This window comes from Homo sapiens, chromosome 4, assembly GCF_000001405.40.
Source record: "Homo sapiens chromosome 4, GRCh38.p14 Primary Assembly".
In the NCBI taxonomy this organism is placed as follows: domain Eukaryota; kingdom Metazoa; phylum Chordata; class Mammalia; order Primates; family Hominidae; genus Homo; species Homo sapiens.
The window spans coordinates 9,248,511-9,269,979 of record NC_000004.12 but is presented as its reverse complement, the minus strand read 5'-3'; the positions used below and the strand labels follow the sequence as shown (position 1 = coordinate 9,269,979).

The following is a 21,469-nucleotide window of genomic DNA, read 5'->3' as shown; positions in this document are numbered from 1 at the left end:
TCAGTTGAATACACACACTCCTGTGTTTGCTTTCCTTTATTATCAATACAGCTTACTTCCAGATGACTTACATGCCCGTGGGAAAATTTTCCGTTTGGACTCATGGGAAGCGGGCATCGTGAAACAGGCAAGTCGGTCTGTCCGCTTCCGGCGTTATGTGGGTTCCAGCAAGAGCACAAGTCCCAGGGCGCCTGAGGTCCATTCAGGAACCAGTGTAAAAACGGCGAGCCCGGGGAAGAAAGAAGAGCACCGTTCTTCTCTTCCAAATGCATTCCAGTTTCCACTATTCAAGGTGGCGAGAATGATCCACGGATGTCCCACATGAGCCACCTTTCACCTTCTCATGCCGACCAACAACTGACGAATGAAACACACCCCAAGAGAAAATACGAAACCGAGTCCCCTGCAATTACCTCACACGCAAACCTACACGTCGGTAGGTCATATTCAGAAATACACACTGAATGTCACCTATCATGAACACAAACACTCAGACAGTCCCACCAGAGGTTCGGAAGACTCACGACCCCAAAACTTGATGTTTCCCATATGCGGGCTCATCCTGAGATGTAGCCATCACTATCCAGTTGTCCCTGTTGTAGAGACAGAAACTTGGGCTCCTCATTAGTTTATGTAGGATTGACGGTGTTCGTGTTTGTGTGGGTGTGTGTGTGTTTGCGTGCGCGCTTCTGGGTGTAGTTATGTGTGTGTCTGTGTGTGTGCGTGTGTGTGTGCACCCCTACGTGTGGGTCGGTACTTCCACTGAGATCACTGGCACACAAGCAGAGCCCTCTTGCTGTGTTTGTTCTTCCCTTTGGATCTCCTGGCCCTCCCTCGCAGGGAAGCGAGTGTGCCAGTGTTCATGGACTCCTGATGTGTCGGGGTCGTCGAAGAGAGTTTTAGCAGGGAGCTTTGCTGTTCAGGATGATGGTTCTTCATCCCACACTTGTATTTTGATTGATGAATCACAAGTACGTCGGGAGGCAGGGTACCTTCGACTTTTCTGACGTTGAACTCAGGCTTCGTTTTGTTTTGCTCTTGAAGGAATTTCCAGTGGTCTAAGGTGCTTTCCTGAGTGGCTCTTTCCACCAAGTGCTCGTCCAACTCGGGGGCCTGGAGGCAGGGGTGGTCTCTCTTGAGCTCTCCTTGCGTTGCTCGCCTGTCTGTGTCTTCTGCGCCAAGGGCTCTTGGTTCTCTGCCTCTTGACACACTCTCACTGTGTCTTTCCCATTCACTCTTCTGGATGTAAAAGAGGACGTAGGCCTGTTGACTCAGGACAGAAGTGATGCTAGAGGCGGTGACCTCGGCATCATCCATTTTATACCACTGGCCTTCTTGAGCTTTGACATAAGAGAAGTAATGTCCGTTGTGACAACTCCACCCAGCGTGGACCAGCACAGCATAGAGGACATAGACGAGAGGTCCTGTGTTCTGCTGAGACATGTATGGCTGCATGTCAAGGCACTCAGGATATTGCACATTCTTGGCAATCTTGTTGCCTGTGACATCGGAGAATCTCTTCAATACAAGGATGAGGACCTTGGCAGAGGTGTGTAAAGTTAACGTCTTGGAGGCCGGCGCCCTCTGGAGACAAACACCACAATGATAGGCATTCTCTCCATTGAGTTCTTCGGGCTTCACCAACTGTTCCAAAGCTTGCTGGACACTCTGAGCTGCCTGGATATCCAGGGCGATGTCCAGGTAAGGGTCAAAAGTGTCTGAAATGCCGTGGCAGTGGAGACACTTGATTTGAGATCTCCAGTAGCCTCCAAATATTTGGTGGATGAGGGTGGTGTCCTTAGAGTGATGATCCACCTGCTTGTGCCCGGGAAGGCATGCCTTTTTCATGGCATCCACAGTGAACATGAGAAATTCATGGGCATCTTCCTGCTTGCCTCTATGGAAGCCAGCAGCCAATGCCTGTGAGGGCTGGATGACGTGGCCAGGATTGTGGAGGGCCCGTGTGATGTGAGCTTGCATCGTACAGAGCATGCAGCCCTTGTGACGATGACACGTTTGAGAGTGCTCCCGGGACAGCATGTAGTTGGCAAGGGGCGGTGTGTATGTCAGGCACTGCAAGGAAGCGTTCACGTAGCAGGTATTTCCCATATTCTGGAGCCCAGCCCCCACCGCAGCAGGTCTCCTGCTACTCAGAGGAAGCTTCTCCCTGGGAGCAAGCTGTCTTGCCACAGGAGCCAAATCATCACAGAGGTCGACACGGGTCTCACATGAGAGTGGTGACTTCTCAGGGAGAGAAGTCCGCTGGATTTCAGCAAAAGCTGCATCGGGCCGAGAAGATGTGAGTTTTGAAAAGTGGTTGAACTGCCACTCACCTCCCAAGTAGAGTGAGTCGTCCTCCATGTCGACTGGAACGAGGATCACAAGGTTTTTCTGCTGGGACCGCAGGTTGCAGAAAGACGCTATCCCTTCCGAGAGAGTCTTCAAATGACGAGCTCTCTGGCCGCATCAGCCCTTCTATAAGTCACCCCCACCAACCGCGAACACCCCACCCACTCATCAGGTGCGCGATAAGCCAATCAAATAACAGCACTCAATTCAGGAAGGAGTCACAGGGTGTGTCCCCTGGCATCGCTGGGAATTCAACAGACACAGCCCACAGCATGACTTCCAGAACACCTGAATCAAATTACTCCTCAGGATGATAGGCACATATAATAGGAGTGTAACCGGGTTGGGACAGTGGCCTCACAGTTGCCTTATTTTAGGTAAAGCAATGGCAGGGAAGAAATCTTTACCTAGGAAACCGTGTGCGTGTGTGTGTGTGAGTGTGTTTGTGTGTGTGTGGGGGGGGGCGTGTGTGTGTGTGTGTTTGTGCTGGGATGAACCTCCAAGTAGGTACTTTTGGCAGCTGCCATCATCCTCTCAGCGACGGAAGGACAAGAAGTCGAAAGTGCGCTTTCTGACCTGAGAATAGTCAATGAAGTATAGTATTTAGCACAGCGTATTTTCTTCCCTAGTGAGAAAGGAGAGATCCGTGGAATCAAACAGACCTTCCAGCGATAACCTTTCCACGTTGAGCCTATTGATTCTCTGTCCGAGTGAAATTACCTGCCAGGGGGAGAACAAGACAAGTCTTTGCATGAAATGCTCTTGTGGAAGCTAGATTGCCAAATAAGAAAGAATCAAATGGTAGAAACATGCACTGAAGTTTGAAGAGATACTCAGTGCACAAAGTAGACTGTGAAAGCCTTTGGGGAAATCATGCAATCCCCGAGAGACTAATTGATGACAATCCCCAAATTTATGTTTGCCAGAAAAGAGAGACGGTCATGACACTGCATAGTGAGCGGTTTCGGACGTGCGACGGCAGTTTAAGAAAACACGAAACAAAAAACTTGAGAACTCAGAAGGTATCCCAGCTATACCCTTTTGTTTATTAAAGAATTGATGAAAATAAAAACAACGTATCTCACAGCATGTGTGATAATATTTCCATACGTATGTGATAATGGATCAACGTTTCCTAGAGATGAAATAAAAAGTTCTAATTTGGACAAAAGCAAACAAGGAAAATTATACCGTAGAAAAGCCCGGCTGACGGAAGTGAGGCCCTGTCTCAGGGAGAAACATCGGAGACGTTTAAAAGCAGGGAGTGAAACAGAGGATAGCGTGCCATTTTTAATACTGGCCCTTGTTTCAGTGGGAAAAGGCCAAAATAAGCCGTGCATATCCTGGATTCTCGCATCGATCGTTCAGGATCGGAGATGTTGCCTCCATTTCCAGTTACGCATTGTATGGTGGAATTGCAGTTAGCACATTTGGTGCCAAAATTGTAATGCTGCCGAAAGTGGACATGTTCCCTGAAGTAAGAGGGACAGAATTTGGGTGTGTCTTCCGGCTGTCTGGCTTAGCAGGAATGAAGATCCTGGCTCTAGGGATTTTCCCAACATGTCTTAGACGGTAAGGAACAGGGCGGAATTGAGGCCCGGCGCCAAGGCCTCTAGGTGTAAAGAAACAGCCCTGGCTTCAGGGCCCATGAAATTAGGATGATTTTAAGGAGGATGATGGGATGAGAGGACTGTGACCTTTGGCCCCGTTTCTTTCCCTTGTCTTTTCATGGGCCAGGTGTGCTCCATCAGAAGGCTTCCTGTGCCGGATGTAAAGTGTCCTGGGGGAAGAAAAGAGCACTGCTTAGAAAGATGCTCCACAGGGAGAAAGGAGCCACCATTTTCAGGAGAATGATCCCCAGAAGCATGAGCAATGCAGATGCCGAGGCTTCACACAAGACCCTGGAGGGTCTTATTCCTGCAGCCGGGACCTGGGCATCGGTGTGCTTGAATGCTCATAACCGATTTTGAGGGGAGCCCAATCGATAAGCTGTCTGCCAGTCATGCTCATCACACTGTAGTTTTCACACACGTCACACGGAGACCCTGTTCGTATGCACATTTGGGTGCTTGAGCAGGGTTGCGCCCAAGATTCTGTGGTTCTACGGAGCCCTGAGTTGTGCCCTGGGCAGCTTTCCTCTGGGGTTGGTCAACTTTGATCACTGTACCTGACGAGAAAGGGACCATGAAGTCTAATCAGCAAATAGAGAAAAGGAAGGGGCCATTTCCCACAATCATTTCCACGGAAACACCACGTCGGATCAATAAGTCTCACTGCGGGACAGGGACTGTGCTTCAGAGATGCAGCTTTCGCAGCTGGACAAATGACCCAGAAATTCCCCAAATGCCATTTTTAAACACACCCAGTGAGATTGATTGCAGGGCTTTCTGAATTTATTTCAGTTGAATACACACACTCCTGTGTTTGCTTTCCTTTATTATCAATACAGCTTACTTCCAGATGACTTACATGCCCGTGGGAAAATTTTCCGTTTCGACTCATGGGAAGCGGGCACCGTGAAACAGGCAAGTCGGTCTGTCCGCTTCCGGCGTTATGTGGGTTCCAGCAAGAGCACAAGTCCCAGGGCGCCTGAGGTCCATTCAGGAACCAGTGTAAAAACGGCGAGCCCGGGGAAGAAAGAAGAGCACCGTTCTTCTCTTCCAAATGCATTCCAGTTTCCACTATTCAAGGTGGCGAGAATGATCCACGGATGTCCCACATGAGCCACCTTTCACCTTCTCATGCCGACCAACAACTGACGAATGAAACACACCCCAAGAGAAAATACGAAACCGAGTCCCCTGCAATTACCTCACACGCAAACCTACACGTCGGTAGGTCATATTCAGAAATACACACTGAATGTCACCTATCATGAACACAAACACTCAGACAGTCCCTCCAGAGGTTCGGAAGACTCACGACCCCAAAACTTGATGTTTCCCATATGCGGGCTCATCCTGAGATGTAGCCATCACTATCCAGTTGTCCCTGTTGTAGAGACAGAAACTTGGGCTCCTCATTAGTTTATGTAGGATTGACGGTGTTCGTGTTTGTGTGGGTGTGTGTGTGTTTGCGTGCGCGCTTCTGGGTGTAGTTATGTGTGTGTCTGTGTGTGTGCGTGTGTGTGTGCACCCCTACGTGTGGGTCGGTACTTCCACTGAGATCACTGGCACACAAGCAGAGCCCTCTTGCTGTGTTTGTTCTTCCCTTTGGATCTCCTGGCCCTCCCTCGCAGGGAAGCGAGTGTGCCAGTGTTCATGGACTCCTGATGTGTCGGGGTCGACGAAGAGAGGTTTAGCAGGGAGCTTTGCTGTTCAGGATGATGGTTCTTCATCCCACACTTGTATTTTGATTGATGAATCACAAGTACGTCGGGAGGCAGGGTACCTTCGACTTTTCTGACGTTGAACTCAGGCTTCGTTTTGTTTTGCTCTTGAAGGAATTTCCAGTGGTCTAAGGTGCTTTCCTGAGTGGCTCTTTCCACCAAGTGCTCGTCCAACTCGGGGGCCTGGAGGCAGGGGTGGTCTCTCTTGAGCTCTCCTTGCGTTGCTCGCCTGTCTGTGTCTTCTGCGCCAAGGGCTCTTGGTTCTCTGCCTCTTGACACACTCTCACTGTGTCTTTCCCATTCACTCTTCTGGATGTAAAAGAGGACGTAGGCCTGTTGACTCAGGACAGAAGTGATGCTAGAGGCGGTGACCTCGGCATCATCCATTTTATACCACTGGCCTTCTTGAGCTTTGACATAAGAGAAGTAATGTCCGTTGTGACAACTCCACCCAGCGTGGACCAGCACAGCATAGAGGACATAGACGAGAGGTCCTGTGTTCGGCTGAGACATGTATGGCTGCATGTCAAGGCACTCAGGATATTGCACATTCTTGGCAATCTTGTTGCCTGTGACATCGGAGAATCTCTTCAATACAAGGATGAGGACCTTGGCAGAGGTGAGTAAAGTTAACATCTTGGAGGCCGGCGCCCTCTGGAGACAAACACCACAATGATAGGCATTCTCTCCATTGAGTTCTTCGGGCTTCACCAACTGTTCCAAAGCTTGCTGGACACTCTGAGCTGCCTGGATATCCAGGGCGATGTCCAGGTAAGGGTCAAAAGTGTCTGAAATGCCGTGGCAGTGGAGACACTTGATTTGAGATCTCCAGTAGCCTCCAAATATTTGGTGGATGAGGGTGGTGTCCTTAGAGTGATGATCCACCTGCTTGTGCCCGGGAAGGCATGCCTTTTTCATGGCATCCACAGTGAACATGAGAAATTCATGGGCATCTTCCTGCTTGCCTCTATGGAAGCCAGCAGCCAATGCCTGTGAGGGCTGGATGACGTGGCCAGGATTGTGGAGGGCCCGTGTGATGTGAGCTTGCATCGTACAGAGCATGCAGCCCTTGTGACGATGACACGTTTGAGAGTGCTCCCGGGACAGCATGTAGTTGGCAAGGGGCGGTGTGTATGTCAGGCACTGCAAGGAAGCGTTCACGTAGCAGGTATTTCCCATATTCTGGAGCCCAGCCCCCACCGCAGCAGGTCTCCTGTTACTCAGAGGAAGCTTCTCCCTGGGAGCAAGCTGTCTTGCCACAGGAGCCAAATCATCACAGAGGTCGACACGGGTCTCACATGAGAGTGGTGACTTCTCAGGGAGAGAAGTCCGCTGGATTTCAGCAAAAGCTGCATCGGGCCGAGAAGATGTGAGTTTTGAAAAGTGGTTGAACTGCCACTCACCTCCCAAGTAGAGTGAGTCTTCCTCCATGTCGACTGGAACAAGGATCACAAGGTTTTTCTGCTGGGACCGCAGGTTGCAGAAAGACGCTATCCCTTCCGAGAGAGTCTTCAAATGACGAGCTCTCTGGCGCATCAGCCCTTCTGTAAGTCAACCCCACCAACCGCGAACACCCCACCCACTCATCAGGTGCGCGATAAGCCAATCAAATATCAGCACTCAATTCAGGAAGGAGTCACAGGGTGTGTCCCCTTGCATCGCTGGGAATTCAACAGACACAGCCCACAGCATGACTTCCAGAACACCTGAATCAAATTACTCCTCAGGATGATAGGCACATATAATAGGAGTGTAACCGGGTTGGGACAGTGGCCACACAGTTGCCTTATTTTAGGTAAAGCAATGACAGGGAAGAAATCTTTACGTAGGAAACCGTGTGAGTGTGTGTGTGTGATTGTGTTCGTGTGTGTGTGTGTGGGGGGGGCGCGTGTGTGTGTGTGTTTGTGCTGGGATGAACTTCCAAGTATGTACTTTTGGCAACTGCCATCATCCTCTCAGCGACGGAAAGACAAGAAGTCGAAAGTGCGCTTTCTGACCTGAGAATAGTCAATGAAGTATAGTATTTAGCACAGCGTATTTTCTTCCCTAGTGAGAAAGGAGAGATCCGTGGAATCAAACAGACCTTCCAGCGATAACCTTTCCACGTTGAGCCTATTGATTCTCTATCTGAGTGAAATTACCTGCCAGTGGAGAACAAGACAAGTCTTTGCATGAAATGCTCTTGTGGAAGCTAGATTGCCAAATAAGAAAGCATGAAATGGTAGAAACATGCACTGAAGTTTGAAGAGATACTCAGTGCACAAAGTAGACTGTGAAAGCCTTTGGGGAAATCATGCAATCCCCGAGAGACTAATTGATGACAATCCCCAAATTTATGTTTGCCAGAAAAGAGAGACGGTCATGACACTGCATAGTGAGCGGTTTCGGACGTGCGACGGCAGTTTAAGAAAACACGAAACAAAAAACTTGAGAACTCAGAAGGTATCCCAGCTATAACCGTTTGTTTATTAAAGAATTGATGAAAATAAAAACAACGTATCTCACAGCATGTGTGATAATATTTCCATACGTATGTGATAATGGATCAACGTTTCCTAGAGGTGAAATAAAAAGTTCTAATTTGGACAAAAGCAAACAAGGAAAATTATACCGTAGAAAAGCCCGGCTGACGGAAGTGAGGCCCTGTCTCAGGGAGAAACATCGGAGACGTTTAAAAGCAGGGAGTGAAACAGAGGATAGCGTGCCATTTTTAATACTGGCCCTTGTTTCAGTGGGAAAAGGCCAAAATAAGCCGTGCATATCCTGGATTCTCGCATCGATCGTTCAGGATCGGAGATGTTGCCTCCATTTCCAGTTACGCATTGTATGGTGGAATTGCAGTTAGCACATTTGGTGCCAAAATTGTAATGCTGCCGAAAGTGGACATGTTCCCTGAAGTAAGAGGGACAGAATTTGGGTGTGTCTTCCGGCTGTCTGGCTTAGCAGGAATGAAGATCCTGGCTCTAGGGATTTTCCCAACATGTCTTAGACGGTAAGGAACAGGGCGGAATTGAGGCCCGGCGCCAAGGCCTCTAGGTGTAAAGAAACAGCCCTGGCTTCAGGGCCCATGAAATTAGGATGATTTTAAGGAGGATGATGGGATGAGAGGACTGTGACCTTTGGCCCCGTTTCTTTCCCTTGTCTTTTCATGGGCCAGGTGTGCTCCATCAGAAGGCTTCCTGTGCCGGATGTAAAGTGTCCTGGGGGAAGAAAAGAGCACTGCTTAGAAAGATGCTCCACAGGGAGAAAGGAGCCACCATTTTCAGGAGAATGATCCCCAGAAGCATGAGCAATGCAGATGCCGAGGCTTCACACAAGACCCTGGAGGGTCTTATTCCTGCAGCCGGGACCTGGGCATCGGTGTGCTTGAATGCTCATAACCGATTTTGAGGGGAGCCCAATCGATAAGCTGTCTGCCAGTCATGCTCATCACACTGTAGTTTTCACACACGTCACACGGAGACCCTGTTCGTATGCACATTTGGGTGCTTGAGCAGGGTTGCGCCCAAGATTCTGTGGTTCTACGGAGCCCTGAGTTGTGCCCTGGGCAGCTTTCCTCTGGGGTTGGTCAACTTTGATCACTGTACCTGACGAGAAAGGGACCATGAAGTCTAATCAGCAAATAGAGAAAAGGAAGGGGCCATTTCCCACAATCATTTCCACGGAAACACCACGTCGGATCAATAAGTCTCACTGCGGGACAGGGACTGTGCTTCAGAGATGCAGCTTTCGCAGCTGGACAAATGACCCAGAAATTCCCCAAATGCCATTTTTAAACACACCCAGTGAGATTGATTTCAGGGCTTTCTGAATTTATTTCAGTTGAATACACACACTCCTGTGTTTGCTTTCCTTTATTATCAATACAGCTTACTTCCAGATGACTTACATGCCCGTGGGAAAATTTTCCGTTTGGACTCATGGGAAGCGGGCACCGTGAAACAGGCAAGTCGGTCTGTCCTCTTCCGGCGTTATGTGGGTTCCAGCAAGAGCACAAGTCCCAGGGCGCCTGAGGTCCATTCAGGAACCAGTGTAAAAACGGCGAGCCCGGGGAAGAAAAAAGAGCACCGTTCTTCTCTTCCAAATGCATTCCAGTTTCCACTATTCAAGGTGGCGAGAATGATCCACGGATGTCCCACATGAGCCACCTTTCACCTTCTCATGCCGACCAACAACTGACGAATGAAACACACCCCAAGAGAAAATACGAAACCGAGTCCCCTGCAATTACCTCACACGCAAACCTACACGTCGGTAGGTCATATTCAGAAATACACACTGAATGTCACCTATCATGAACACAAACACTCAGACAGTCCCACCAGAGGTTCGGAAGACTCACGACCCCAAAACTTGATGTTTCCCATATGCGGGCTCATCCTGAGATGTAGCCATCACTATCCAGTTGTCCCTGTTGTAGAGACAGAAACTTGGGCTCCTCATTAGTTTATGTAGGATTGACGGTGTTCGTGTTTGTGTGGGTGTGTGTGTGTTTGCGTGCGCGCTTCTGGGTGTAGTTATGTGTGTGTCTGTGTGTGTGCGTGTGTGTGTGCACCCCTACGTGTGGGTCGGTACTTCCACTGAGATCACTGGCACACAAGCAGAGCCCTCTTGCTGTGTTTGTTCTTCCCTTTGGATCTCCTGGCCCTCCCTCGCAGGGAAGCGAGTGTGCCAGTGTTCATGGACTCCTGATGTGTCGGGGTCGTCGAAGAGAGGTTTAGCAGGGAGCTTTGCTGTTCAGGATGATGGTTCTTCATCCCACACTTGTATTTTGATTGATGAATCACAAGTACGTCGGGAGGCAGGGTACCTTCGACTTTTCTGACGTTGAACTCAGGCTTCGTTTTGTTTTGCTCTTGAAGGAATTTCCAGTGGTCTAAGGTGCTTTCCTGAGTGGCTCTTTCCACCAAGTGCTCGTCCAACTCGGGGGCCTGGAGGCAGGGGTGGTCTCTCTTGAGCTCTCCTTGCGTTGCTCGCCTGTCTGTGTCTTCTGCGCCAAGGGCTCTTGGTTCTCTGCCTCTTGACACACTCTCACTGTGTCTTTCCCATTCACTCTTCTGGATGTAAAAGAGGACGTAGGCCTGTTGACTCAGGACAGAAGTGATGCTAGAGGCGGTGACCTCGGCATCATCCATTTTATACCACTGGCCTTCTTGAGCTTTGACATAAGAGAAGTAATGTCCGTTGTGACAACTCCACCCAGCGTGGACCAGCACAGCATAGAGGACATAGACGAGAGGTCCTGTGTTCGGCTGAGACATGTATGGCTGCATGTCAAGGCACTCAGGATATTGCACATTCTTGGCAATCTTGTTGCCTGTGACATCGGAGAATCTCTTCAATACAAGGATGAGGACCTTGGCAGAGGTGTGTAAAGTTAACGTCTTGGAGGCCGGCGCCCTCTGGAGACAAACACCACAATGATAGGCATTCTCTCCATTGAGTTCTTCGGGCTTCACCAACTGTTCCAAAGCTTGCTGGACACTCTGAGCTGCCTGGATATCCAGGGCGATGTCCAGGTAAGGGTCAAAAGTGTCTGAAATGCCGTGGCAGTGGAGACACTTGATTTGAGATCTCCAGTAGCCTCCAAATATTTGGTGGATGAGGGTGGTGTCCTTAGAGTGATGATCCACCTGCTTGTGCCCGGGAAGGCATGCCTTTTTCATGGCATCCACAGTGAACATGAGAAATTCATGGGCATCTTCCTGCTTGCCTCTATGGAAGCCAGCAGCCAATGCCTGTGAGGGCTGGATGACGTGGCCAGGATTGTGGAGGGCCCGTGTGATGTGAGCTTGCATCGTACAGAGCATGCAGCCCTTGTGACGATGACACGTTTGAGAGTGCTCCCGGGACAGCATGTAGTTGGCAAGGGGCGGTGTGTATGTCAGGCACTGCAAGGAAGCGTTCACGTAGCAGGTATTTCCCATATTCTGGAGCCCAGCCCCCACCGCAGCAGGTCTCCTGCTACTCAGAGGAAGCTTCTCCCTGGGAGCAAGCTGTCTTGCCACAGGAGCCAAATCATCACAGAGGTCGACACGGGTCTCACATGAGAGTGGTGACTTCTCAGGGAGAGAAGTCCGCTGGATTTCAGCAAAAGCTGCATCGGGCCGAGAAGATGTGAGTTTTGAAAAGTGGTTGAACTGCCACTCACCTCCCAAGTAGAGTGAGTCGTCCTCCATGTCGACTGGAACGAGGATCACAAGGTTTTTCTGCTGGGACCGCAGGTTGCAGAAAGACGCTATCCCTTCCGAGAGAGTCTTCAAATGACGAGCTCTCTGGCCGCATCAGCCCTTCTATAAGTCACCCCCACCAACCGCGAACACCCCACCCACTCATCAGGTGCGCGATAAGCCAATCAAATAACAGCACTCAATTCAGGAAGGAGTCACAGGGTGTGTCCCCTGGCATCGCTGGGAATTCAACAGACACAGCCCACAGCATGACTTCCAGAACACCTGAATCAAATTACTCCTCAGGATGATAGGCACATATAATAGGAGTGTAACCGGGTTGGGACAGTGGCCTCACAGTTGCCTTATTTTAGGTAAAGCAATGGCAGGGAAGAAATCTTTACCTAGGAAACCGTGTGCGTGTGTGTGTGTGAGTGTGTTTGTGTGTGTGTGGGGGGGGGCGTGTGTGTGTGTGTGTTTGTGCTGGGATGAACCTCCAAGTAGGTACTTTTGGCAGCTGCCATCATCCTCTCAGCGACGGAAGGACAAGAAGTCGAAAGTGCGCTTTCTGACCTGAGAATAGTCAATGAAGTATAGTATTTAGCACAGCGTATTTTCTTCCCTAGTGAGAAAGGAGAGATCCGTGGAATCAAACAGACCTTCCAGCGATAACCTTTCCACGTTGAGCCTATTGATTCTCTGTCCGAGTGAAATTACCTGCCAGGGGAGAACAAGACAAGTCTTTGCATGAAATGCTCTTGTGGAAGCTAGATTGCCAAATAAGAAAGAATCAAATGGTAGAAACATGCACTGAAGTTTGAAGAGATACTCAGTGCACAAAGTAGACTGTGAAAGCCTTTGGGGAAATCATGCAATCCCCGAGAGACTAATTGATGACAATCCCCAAATTTATGTTTGCCAGAAAAGAGAGACGGTCATGACACTGCATAGTGAGCGGTTTCGGACGTGCGACGGCAGTTTAAGAAAACACGAAACAAAAAACTTGAGAACTCAGAAGGTATCCCAGCTATACCCTTTTGTTTATTAAAGAATTGATGAAAATAAAAACAACGTATCTCACAGCATGTGTGATAATATTTCCATACGTATGTGATAATGGATCAACGTTTCCTAGAGATGAAATAAAAAGTTCTAATTTGGACAAAAGCAAACAAGGAAAATTATACCGTAGAAAAGCCCGGCTGACGGAAGTGAGGCCCTGTCTCAGGGAGAAACATCGGAGACGTTTAAAAGCAGGGAGTGAAACAGAGGATAGCGTGCCATTTTTAATACTGGCCCTTGTTTCAGTGGGAAAAGGCCAAAATAAGCCGTGCATATCCTGGATTCTCGCATCGATCGTTCAGGATCGGAGATGTTGCCTCCATTTCCAGTTACGCATTGTATGGTGGAATTGCAGTTAGCACATTTGGTGCCAAAATTGTAATGCTGCCGAAAGTGGACATGTTCCCTGAAGTAAGAGGGACAGAATTTGGGTGTGTCTTCCGGCTGTCTGGCTTAGCAGGAATGAAGATCCTGGCTCTAGGGATTTTCCCAACATGTCTTAGACGGTAAGGAACAGGGCGGAATTGAGGCCCGGCGCCAAGGCCTCTAGGTGTAAAGAAACAGCCCTGGCTTCAGGGCCCATGAAATTAGGATGATTTTAAGGAGGATGATGGGATGAGAGGACTGTGACCTTTGGCCCCGTTTCTTTCCCTTGTCTTTTCATGGGCCAGGTGTGCTCCATCAGAAGGCTTCCTGTGCCGGATGTAAAGTGTCCTGGGGGAAGAAAAGAGCACTGCTTAGAAAGATGCTCCACAGGGAGAAAGGAGCCACCATTTTCAGGAGAATGATCCCCAGAAGCATGAGCAATGCAGATGCCGAGGCTTCACACAAGACCCTGGAGGGTCTTATTCCTGCAGCCGGGACCTGGGCATCGGTGTGCTTGAATGCTCATAACCGATTTTGAGGGGAGCCCAATCGATAAGCTGTCTGCCAGTCATGCTCATCACACTGTAGTTTTCACACACGTCACACGGAGACCCTGTTCGTATGCACATTTGGGTGCTTGAGCAGGGTTGCGCCCAAGATTCTGTGGTTCTACGGAGCCCTGAGTTGTGCCCTGGGCAGCTTTCCTCTGGGGTTGGTCAACTTTGATCACTGTACCTGACGAGAAAGGGACCATGAAGTCTAATCAGCAAATAGAGAAAAGGAAGGGGCCATTTCCCACAATCATTTCCACGGAAACACCACGTCGGATCAATAAGTCTCACTGCGGGACAGGGACTGTGCTTCAGAGATGCAGCTTTCGCAGCTGGACAAATGACCCAGAAATTCCCCAAATGCCATTTTTAAACACACCCAGTGAGATTGATTTCAGGGCTTTCTGAATTTATTTCAGTTGAATACACACACTCCTGTGTTTGCTTTCCTTTATTATCAATACAGCTTACTTCCAGATGACTTACATGCCCGTGGGAAAATTTTCCGTTTCGACTCATGGGAAGCGGGCACCGTGAAACAGGCAAGTCGGTCTGTCCGCTTCCGGCGTTATGTGGGTTCCAGCAAGAGCACAAGTCCCAGGGCGCCTGAGGTCCATTCAGGAACCAGTGTAAAAACGGCGAGCCCGGGGAAGAAAGAAGAGCACCGTTCTTCTCTTCCAAATGCATTCCAGTTTCCACTATTCAAGGTGGCGAGAATGATCCACGGATGTCCCACATGAGCCACCTTTCACCTTCTCATGCCGACCAACAACTGACGAATGAAACACACCCCAAGAGAAAATACGAAACCGAGTCCCCTGCAATTACCTCACACGCAAACCTACGCGTCGGTAGGTCATATTCAGAAATACACACTGAATGTCACCTATCATGAACACAAACACTCAGACAGTCCCTCCAGAGGTTCGGAAGACTCACGACCCCAAAACTTGATGTTTCCCATATGCGGGCTCATCCTGAGATGTAGCCATCACTATCCAGTTGTCCCTGTTGTAGAGACAGAAAGTTGGGCTCCTCATTAGTTTATGTAGGATTGACGGTGTTCGTGTTTGTGTGGGTGTGTGTGTGTTTGCGTGCGCGCTTCTGGGTGTAGTTATGTGTGTGTCTGTGTGTGTGCGTGTGTGTGTGCACCCCTACGTGTGGGTCGGTACTTCCACTGAGATCACTGGCACACAAGCAGAGCCCTCTTGCTGTGTTTGTTCTTCCCTTTGGATCTCCTGGCCCTCCCTCGCAGGGAAGCGAGTGTGCCAGTGTTCATGGACTCCTGATGTGTCGGGGTCGTCGAAGAGAGTTTTAGCAGGGAGCTTTGCTGTTCAGGATGATGGTTCTTCATCCCACACTTGTATTTTGATTGATGAATCACAAGTACGTCGGGAGGCAGGGTACCTTCGACTTTTCTGACGTTGAACTCAGGCTTCGTTTTGTTTTGCTCTTGAAGGAATTTCCAGTGGTCTAAGGTGCTTTCCTGAGTGGCTCTTTCCACCAAGTGCTCGTCCAACTCGGGGGCCTGGAGGCAGGGGTGGTCTCTCTTGAGCTCTCCTTGCGTTGCTCGCCTGTCTGTGTCTTCTGCGCCAAGGGCTCTTGGTTCTCTGCCTCTTGACACACTCTCACTGTGTCTTTCCCATTCACTCTTCTGGATGTAAAAGAGGACGTAGGCCTGTTGACTCAGGACAGAAGTGATGCTAGAGGCGGTGACCTCGGCATCATCCATTTTATACCACTGGCCTTCTTGAGCTTTGACATAAGAGAAGTAATGTCCGTTGTGACAACTCCACCCAGCGTGGACCAGCACAGCATAGAGGACATAGACGAGAGGTCCTGTGTTCGTCTGAGACATGTATGGCTGCATGTCAAGGCACTCAGGATATTGCACATTCTTGGCAATCTTGTTGCCTGTGACATCGGAGAATCTCTTCAATACAAGGATGAGGACCTTGGCAGAGGTGTGTAAAGTTAACGTCTTGGAGGCCGGCGCCCTCTGGAGACAAACACCACAATGATAGGCATTCTCTCCATTGAGTTCTTCGGGCTTCACCAACTGTTCCAAAGCTTGCTGGACACTCTGAGCTGCCTGGATATCCAGGGCGATGTCCAGGTAAGGGTCAAAAGTGTCTGAAATGCCGTGGCAGTGGAGACACTTGATTTGAGATCTCCAGTAGCCTCCAAATATTTGGTGGATGAGGGTGGTGTCCTTAGAGTGATGATCCACCTGCTTGTGCCCGGGAAGGCATGCCTTTTTCATGGCATCCACAGTGAACATGAGAAATTCATGGGCATCTTCCTGCTTGCCTCTATGGAAGCCAGCAGCCAATGCCTGTGAGGGCTGGATGACGTGGCCAGGATTGTGGAGGGCCCGTGTGATGTGAGCTTGCATCGTACAGAGCATACAGCCCTTGTGACGATGACACGTTTGAGAGTGCTCCCGGGACAGCATGTAGTTGGCAAGGGGCGGTGTGTATGTCAGGCACTGCAAGGAAGCGTTCACGTAGCAGGTATTTCCCATATTCTGGAGCCCAGCCCCCACCGCAGCAGGTCTCCTGCTACTCAGAGGAAGCTTCTCCCTGGGAGCAAGCTGTCTTGCCACAGGAGCCAAATCATCACAGAGGTCGACACGGGTCTCACATGAGAGTGGTGACTTCTCAGGGAGAGAAGTCCGCTGGATTTCAGCAAAAGCTGCATCGGGCCGAGAAGATGTGAGTTTTGAAAAGTGGTTGAACTGCCACTCACCTCCCAAGTAGAGTGAGTCTTCCTCCATGTCGACTGGAACAAGGATCACAAGGTTTTTCTGCTGGGACCGCAGGTTGCAGAAAGACGCTATCCCTTCCGAGAGAGTCTTCAAATGACGAGCTCTCTGGCGCATCAGCCCTTCTGTAAGTCAACCCCACCAACCGCGAACACCCCACCCACTCATCAGGTGCGCGATAAGCCAATCAAATATCAGCACTCAATTCAGGAAGGAGTCACAGGGTGTGTCCCCTTGCATCGCTGGGAATTCAACAGACACAGCCCACAGCATGACTTCCAGAACACCTGAATCAAATTACTCCTCAGGATGATAGGCACATATAATAGGAGTGTAACCGGGTTGGGACAGTGGCCACACAGTTGCCTTATTTTAGGTAAAGCAATGGCAGGGAAGAAATCTTTACGTAGGAAACCGTGTGAGTGTGTGTGTGTGATTGTGTTCGTGTGTGTGTGTGTGGGGGGGGGCGCGTGTGTGTGTGTGTTTGTGCTGGGATGAACTTCCAAGTATGTACTTTTGGCAACTGCCATCATCCTCTCAGCGACGGAAAGACAAGAAGTCGAAAGTGCGCTTTCTGACCTGAGAATAGTCAATGAAGTATAGTATTTAGCACAGCGTATTTTCTTCCCTAGTGAGAAAGGAGAGATCCGTGGAATCAAACAGACCTTCCAGCGATAACCTTTCCACGTTGAGCCTATTGATTCTCTATCTGAGTGAAATTACCTGCCAGTGGAGAACAAGACAAGTCTTTGCATGAAATGCTCTTGTGGAAGCTAGATTGCCAAATAAGAAAGCATGAAATGGTAGAAACATGCACTGAAGTTTGAAGAGATACTCAGTGCACAAAGTAGACTGTGAAAGCCTTTGGGGAAATCATGCAATCCCCGAGAGACTAATTGATGACAATCCCCAAATTTATGTTTGCCAGAAAAGAGAGACGGTCATGACACTGCATAGTGAGCGGTTTCGGACGTGCGACGGCAGTTTAAGAAAACACGAAACAAAAAACTTGAGAACTCAGAAGGTATCCCAGCTATAACCGTTTGTTTATTAAAGAATTGATGAAAATAAAAACAACGTATCTCACAGCATGTGTGATAATATTTCCATACGTATGTGATAATGGATCAACGTTTCCTAGAGGTGAAATAAAAAGTTCTAATTTGGACAAAAGCAAACAAGGAAAATTATACCGTGGAAAAGCCCGGCTGACGGAAGTGAGGCCCTGTCTCAGGGAGAAACATCGGAGACGTTTAAAAGCAGGGAGTGAAACAGAGGATAGCGTGCCATTTTTAATACTGGCCCTTGTTTCAGTGGGAAAAGGCCAAAATAAGCCGTGCATATCCTGGATTCTCGCATCGATCGTTCAGGATCGGAGATGTTGCCTCCATTTCCAGTTACGCATTGTATGGTGGAATTGCAGTTAGCACATTTGGTGCCAAAATTGTAATGCTGCCGAAAGTGGACATGTTCCCTGAAGTAAGAGGGACAGAATTTGGGTGTGTCTTCCGGCTGTCTGGCTTAGCAGGAATGAAGATCCTGGCTCTAGGGATTTTCCCAACATGTCTTAGACGGTAAGGAACAGGGCGGAATTGAGGCCCGGCGCCAAGGCCTCTAGGTGTAAAGAAACAGCCCTGGCTTCAGGGCCCATGAAATTAGGATGATTTTAAGGAGGATGATGGGATGAGAGGACTGTGACCTTTGGCCCCGTTTCTTTCCCTTGTCTTTTCATGGGCCAGGTGTGCTCCATCAGAAGGCTTCCTGTGCCGGATGTAAAGTGTCCTGGGGGAAGAAAAGAGCACTGCTTAGAAAGATGCTCCACAGGGAGAAAGGAGCCACCATTTTCAGGAGAATGATCCCCAGAAGCATGAGCAATGCAGATGCCGAGGCTTCACACAAGACCCTGGAGGGTCTTATTCCTGCAGCCGGGACCTGGGCATCGGTGTGCTTGAATGCTCATAACCGATTTTGAGGGGAGCCCAATCGATAAGCTGTCTGCCAGTCATGCTCATCACACTGTAGTTTTCACACACGTCACACGGAGACCCTGTTCGTATGCACATTTGGGTGCTTGAGCAGGGTTGCGCCCAAGATTCTGTGGTTCTACGGAGCCCTGAGTTGTGCCCTGGGCAGCTTTCCTCTGGGTTGGTCAACTTTGATCACTATACCTGACGAGAAAGGGACCATGAAGTCTAATCAGCAAATAGAGAAAAGGAAGGGGCCATTTCCCACAATCATTTCCACGGAAACACCACGTCGGATAAATAAGTCTCACTGCGGGACAGGGACTGTGCTTCAGAGATGCAGCTTTCGCAGCTGGACAAATGACCCAGAAATTCCCCAAATGCCATTTTTAAACACACCCAGTGAGATTGATTGCAGGGCTTTCTGAATTTATTTCAGTTGAATACACACACTCCTGTGTTTGCTTTCCTTTATTATCAATACAGCTTACTTCCAGATGACTTACATGCCCGTGGGAAAATTTTCCGTTTGGACTCATGGGAAGCGGGCATCGTGAAACAGGCAAGTCGGTCTGTCCGCTTCCGGCGTTATGTGGGTTCCAGCAAGAGCACAAGTCCCAGGGCGCCTGAGGTCCATTCAGGAACCAGTGTAAAAACGGCGAGCCCGGGGAAGAAAGAAGAGCACCGTTCTTCTCTTCCAAATGCATTCCAGTTTCCACTATTCAAGGTGGCGAGAATGATCCACGGATGTCCCACATGAGCCACCTTTCACCTTCTCATGCCGACCAACAACTGACGAATGAAACACACCCCAAGAGAAAATACGAAACCGAGTCCCCTGCAATTACCTCACACGCAAACCTACACGTCGGTAGGTCATATTCAGAAATACACACTGAATGTCACCTATCATGAACACAAACACTCAGACAGTCCCACCAGAGGTTCGGAAGACTCACGACCCCAAAACTTGATGTTTCCCATATGCGGGCTCATCCTGAGATGTAGCCATCACTATCCAGTTGTCCCTGTTGTAGAGACAGAAACTTGGGCTCCTCATTAGTTTATGTAGGATTGACGGTGTTCGTGTTTGTGTGGGTGTGTGTGTGTTTGCGTGCGCGCTTCTGGGTGTAGTTATGTGTGTGTCTGTGTGTGTGCGTGTGTGTGTGCACCCCTACGTGTGGGTCGGTACTTCCACTGAGATCACTGGCACACAAGCAGAGCCCTCTTGCTGTGTTTGTTCTTCCCTTTGGATCTCCTGGCCCTCCCTCGCAGGGAAGCGAGTGTGCCAGTGTTCATGGACTCCTGATGTGTCGGGGTCGTCGAAGAGAGGTTTAGCAGGGAGCTTTGCTGTTCAGGATGATGGTTCTTCATCCCACACTTGTATTTTGATTGATGAATCACAAGTACGTCGGGAGGCAGGGTACCTTCGACTTTTCTGACGTTGAACTCAGGCTTCGTTTTGTTTTGCTCTTGAAGGAATTTCCAGTGGTCTAAGGTGCTTTCCTGAGTGGCTCTTTCCACCAAGTGCTCGTCCAACTCGGGGGCCTGGAGGCAGGGGTGGTCTCTCTTGAGCTCTCCTTGCTTTGCTCGCCTGTCTGTGTCTTCTGCGCCAAGGGCTCTTGGTTCCCTGCCTCTTGACACACTCTCACTGTGTCTTTCCCATTCACTCTTCTGGATGTAAAAGAGGACGTAGGCCTGTTGACTCAGGACAGAAGTGATGCTAGAGGCGGTGACCTCGGCATCATCCATTTTATACCACTGGCCTTCTTGAGCTTTGACATAAGAGAAGTAATGTCCGTTGTGACAACTCCACCCAGCGTGGACCAGCACAGCATAGAGGACATAGACGAGAGGTCCTGTGTTCGTCTGAGACATGTATGGCTGCATGTCAAGGCACTCAGGATATTGCACATTCTTGGCAATCTTGTTGCCTGTGACATCGGAGAATCTCTTCAATACAAGGATGAGGACCTTGGCAGAGGTGTGTAAAGTTAACGTCTTGGAGGCCGGCGCCCTCTGGAGACAAACACCACAATGATAGGCATTCTCTCCATTGAGTTCTTCGGGCTTCACCAACTGTTCCAAAGCTTGCTGGACACTCTGAGCTGCCTGGATATCCAGGGCGATGTCCAGGTAAGGGTCAAAAGTGTCTGAAATGCCGTGGCAGTGGAGACACTTGATTTGAGATCTCCAGTAGCCTCCAAATATTTGGTGGATGAGGGTGGTGTCCTTAGAGTGATGATCCACCTGCTTGTGCCCGGGAAGGCATGCCTTTTTCATGGCATCCACAGTGAACATGAGAAATTCATGGGCATCTTCCTGCTTGCCTCTATGGAAGCCAGCAGCCAATGCCTGTGAGGGCTGGATGACGTGGCCAGGATTGTGGAGGGCCCGTGTGATGTGAGCTTGCATCGTACAGAGCATACAGCCCTTGTGACGATGACACGTTTGAGAGTGCTCCCGGGACAGCATGTAGTTGGCAAGGGGCGGTGTGTATGTCAGGCACTGCAAGGAAGCGTTCACGTAGCAGGTATTTCCCATATTCTGGAGCCCAGCCCCCACCGCAGCAGGTCTCCTGCTACTCAGAGGAAGCTTCTCCCTGGGAGCAAGCTGTCTTGCCACAGGAGCCAAATCATCACAGAGGTCGACACGGGTCTCACATGAGAGTGGTGACTTCTCAGGGAGAGAAGTCCGCTGGATTTCAGCAAAAGCTGCATCGGGCCGAGAAGATGTGAGTTTTGAAAAGTGGTTGAACTGCCACTCACCTCCCAAGTAGAGTGAGTCGTCCTCCATGTCGACTGGAACAAGGATCACAAGGTTTTTCTGCTGGGACCGCAGGTTGCAGAAAGACGCTATCCCTTCCGAGAGAGTCTTCAAATGACGAGCTCTCTGGCCGCATCAGCCCTTCTGTA

The 21,469-nt window shown here is 49.6% G+C and overlaps 5 protein-coding genes and 1 pseudogene across 5 annotated transcripts, besides 1 other annotated feature; all 6 read right to left on the bottom strand.

The window, feature by feature from the left end:
• On the bottom strand, positions 769-2,361 carry LOC124906414 (ubiquitin carboxyl-terminal hydrolase 17-like protein 20; annotated as a pseudogene).
• USP17L22 (ubiquitin specific peptidase 17 like family member 22) lies at positions 769-2,361 on the bottom strand. Its single transcript, NM_001256863.1, has one exon. The coding sequence runs from the start codon at positions 2,359-2,361 to the stop codon at positions 769-771; it is 1,593 nt and encodes a 530-aa protein (NP_001243792.1).
• USP17L21 (ubiquitin specific peptidase 17 like family member 21) lies at positions 5,516-7,108 on the bottom strand. Its single transcript, NM_001256862.1, has one exon. It carries the CDS (start codon positions 7,106-7,108, stop codon positions 5,516-5,518), a length of 1,593 nt encoding a protein of 530 aa, NP_001243791.1.
• A 3,155-nt stretch (positions 7,109-10,263) lies between these two features.
• USP17L20 (ubiquitin specific peptidase 17 like family member 20) lies at positions 10,264-11,856 on the bottom strand. The gene has a single exon (NM_001256861.1). The coding sequence runs from the start codon at positions 11,854-11,856 to the stop codon at positions 10,264-10,266; it is 1,593 nt and encodes a 530-aa protein (NP_001243790.1).
• Positions 11,857-15,009: 3,153 nt separating this feature from the next.
• Positions 15,010-16,602, bottom strand: USP17L19 (ubiquitin specific peptidase 17 like family member 19). Its single transcript, NM_001256860.1, has one exon. It carries the CDS (start codon positions 16,600-16,602, stop codon positions 15,010-15,012), a length of 1,593 nt encoding a protein of 530 aa, NP_001243789.1.
• Positions 19,534-20,035: an enhancer, noted in NCBI's record as "OCT4 hESC enhancer chr4:9251671-9252172 (GRCh37/hg19 assembly coordinates)". NCBI's record gives its function as "activates a minimal SCP1, AML or CMV promoter by ChIP-STARR-seq in primed H9 embryonic stem cells {active_cell/tissue: H9 hESC(primed)}" and the evidence as "EXISTENCE:reporter gene assay evidence [ECO:0000049][PMID:30033119]".
• Positions 19,758-21,350, bottom strand: USP17L18 (ubiquitin specific peptidase 17 like family member 18). Its single transcript, NM_001256859.1, has one exon. The coding sequence runs from the start codon at positions 21,348-21,350 to the stop codon at positions 19,758-19,760; it is 1,593 nt and encodes a 530-aa protein (NP_001243788.1).
• Between the last annotated feature and the right edge of the window lie 119 nt (positions 21,351-21,469).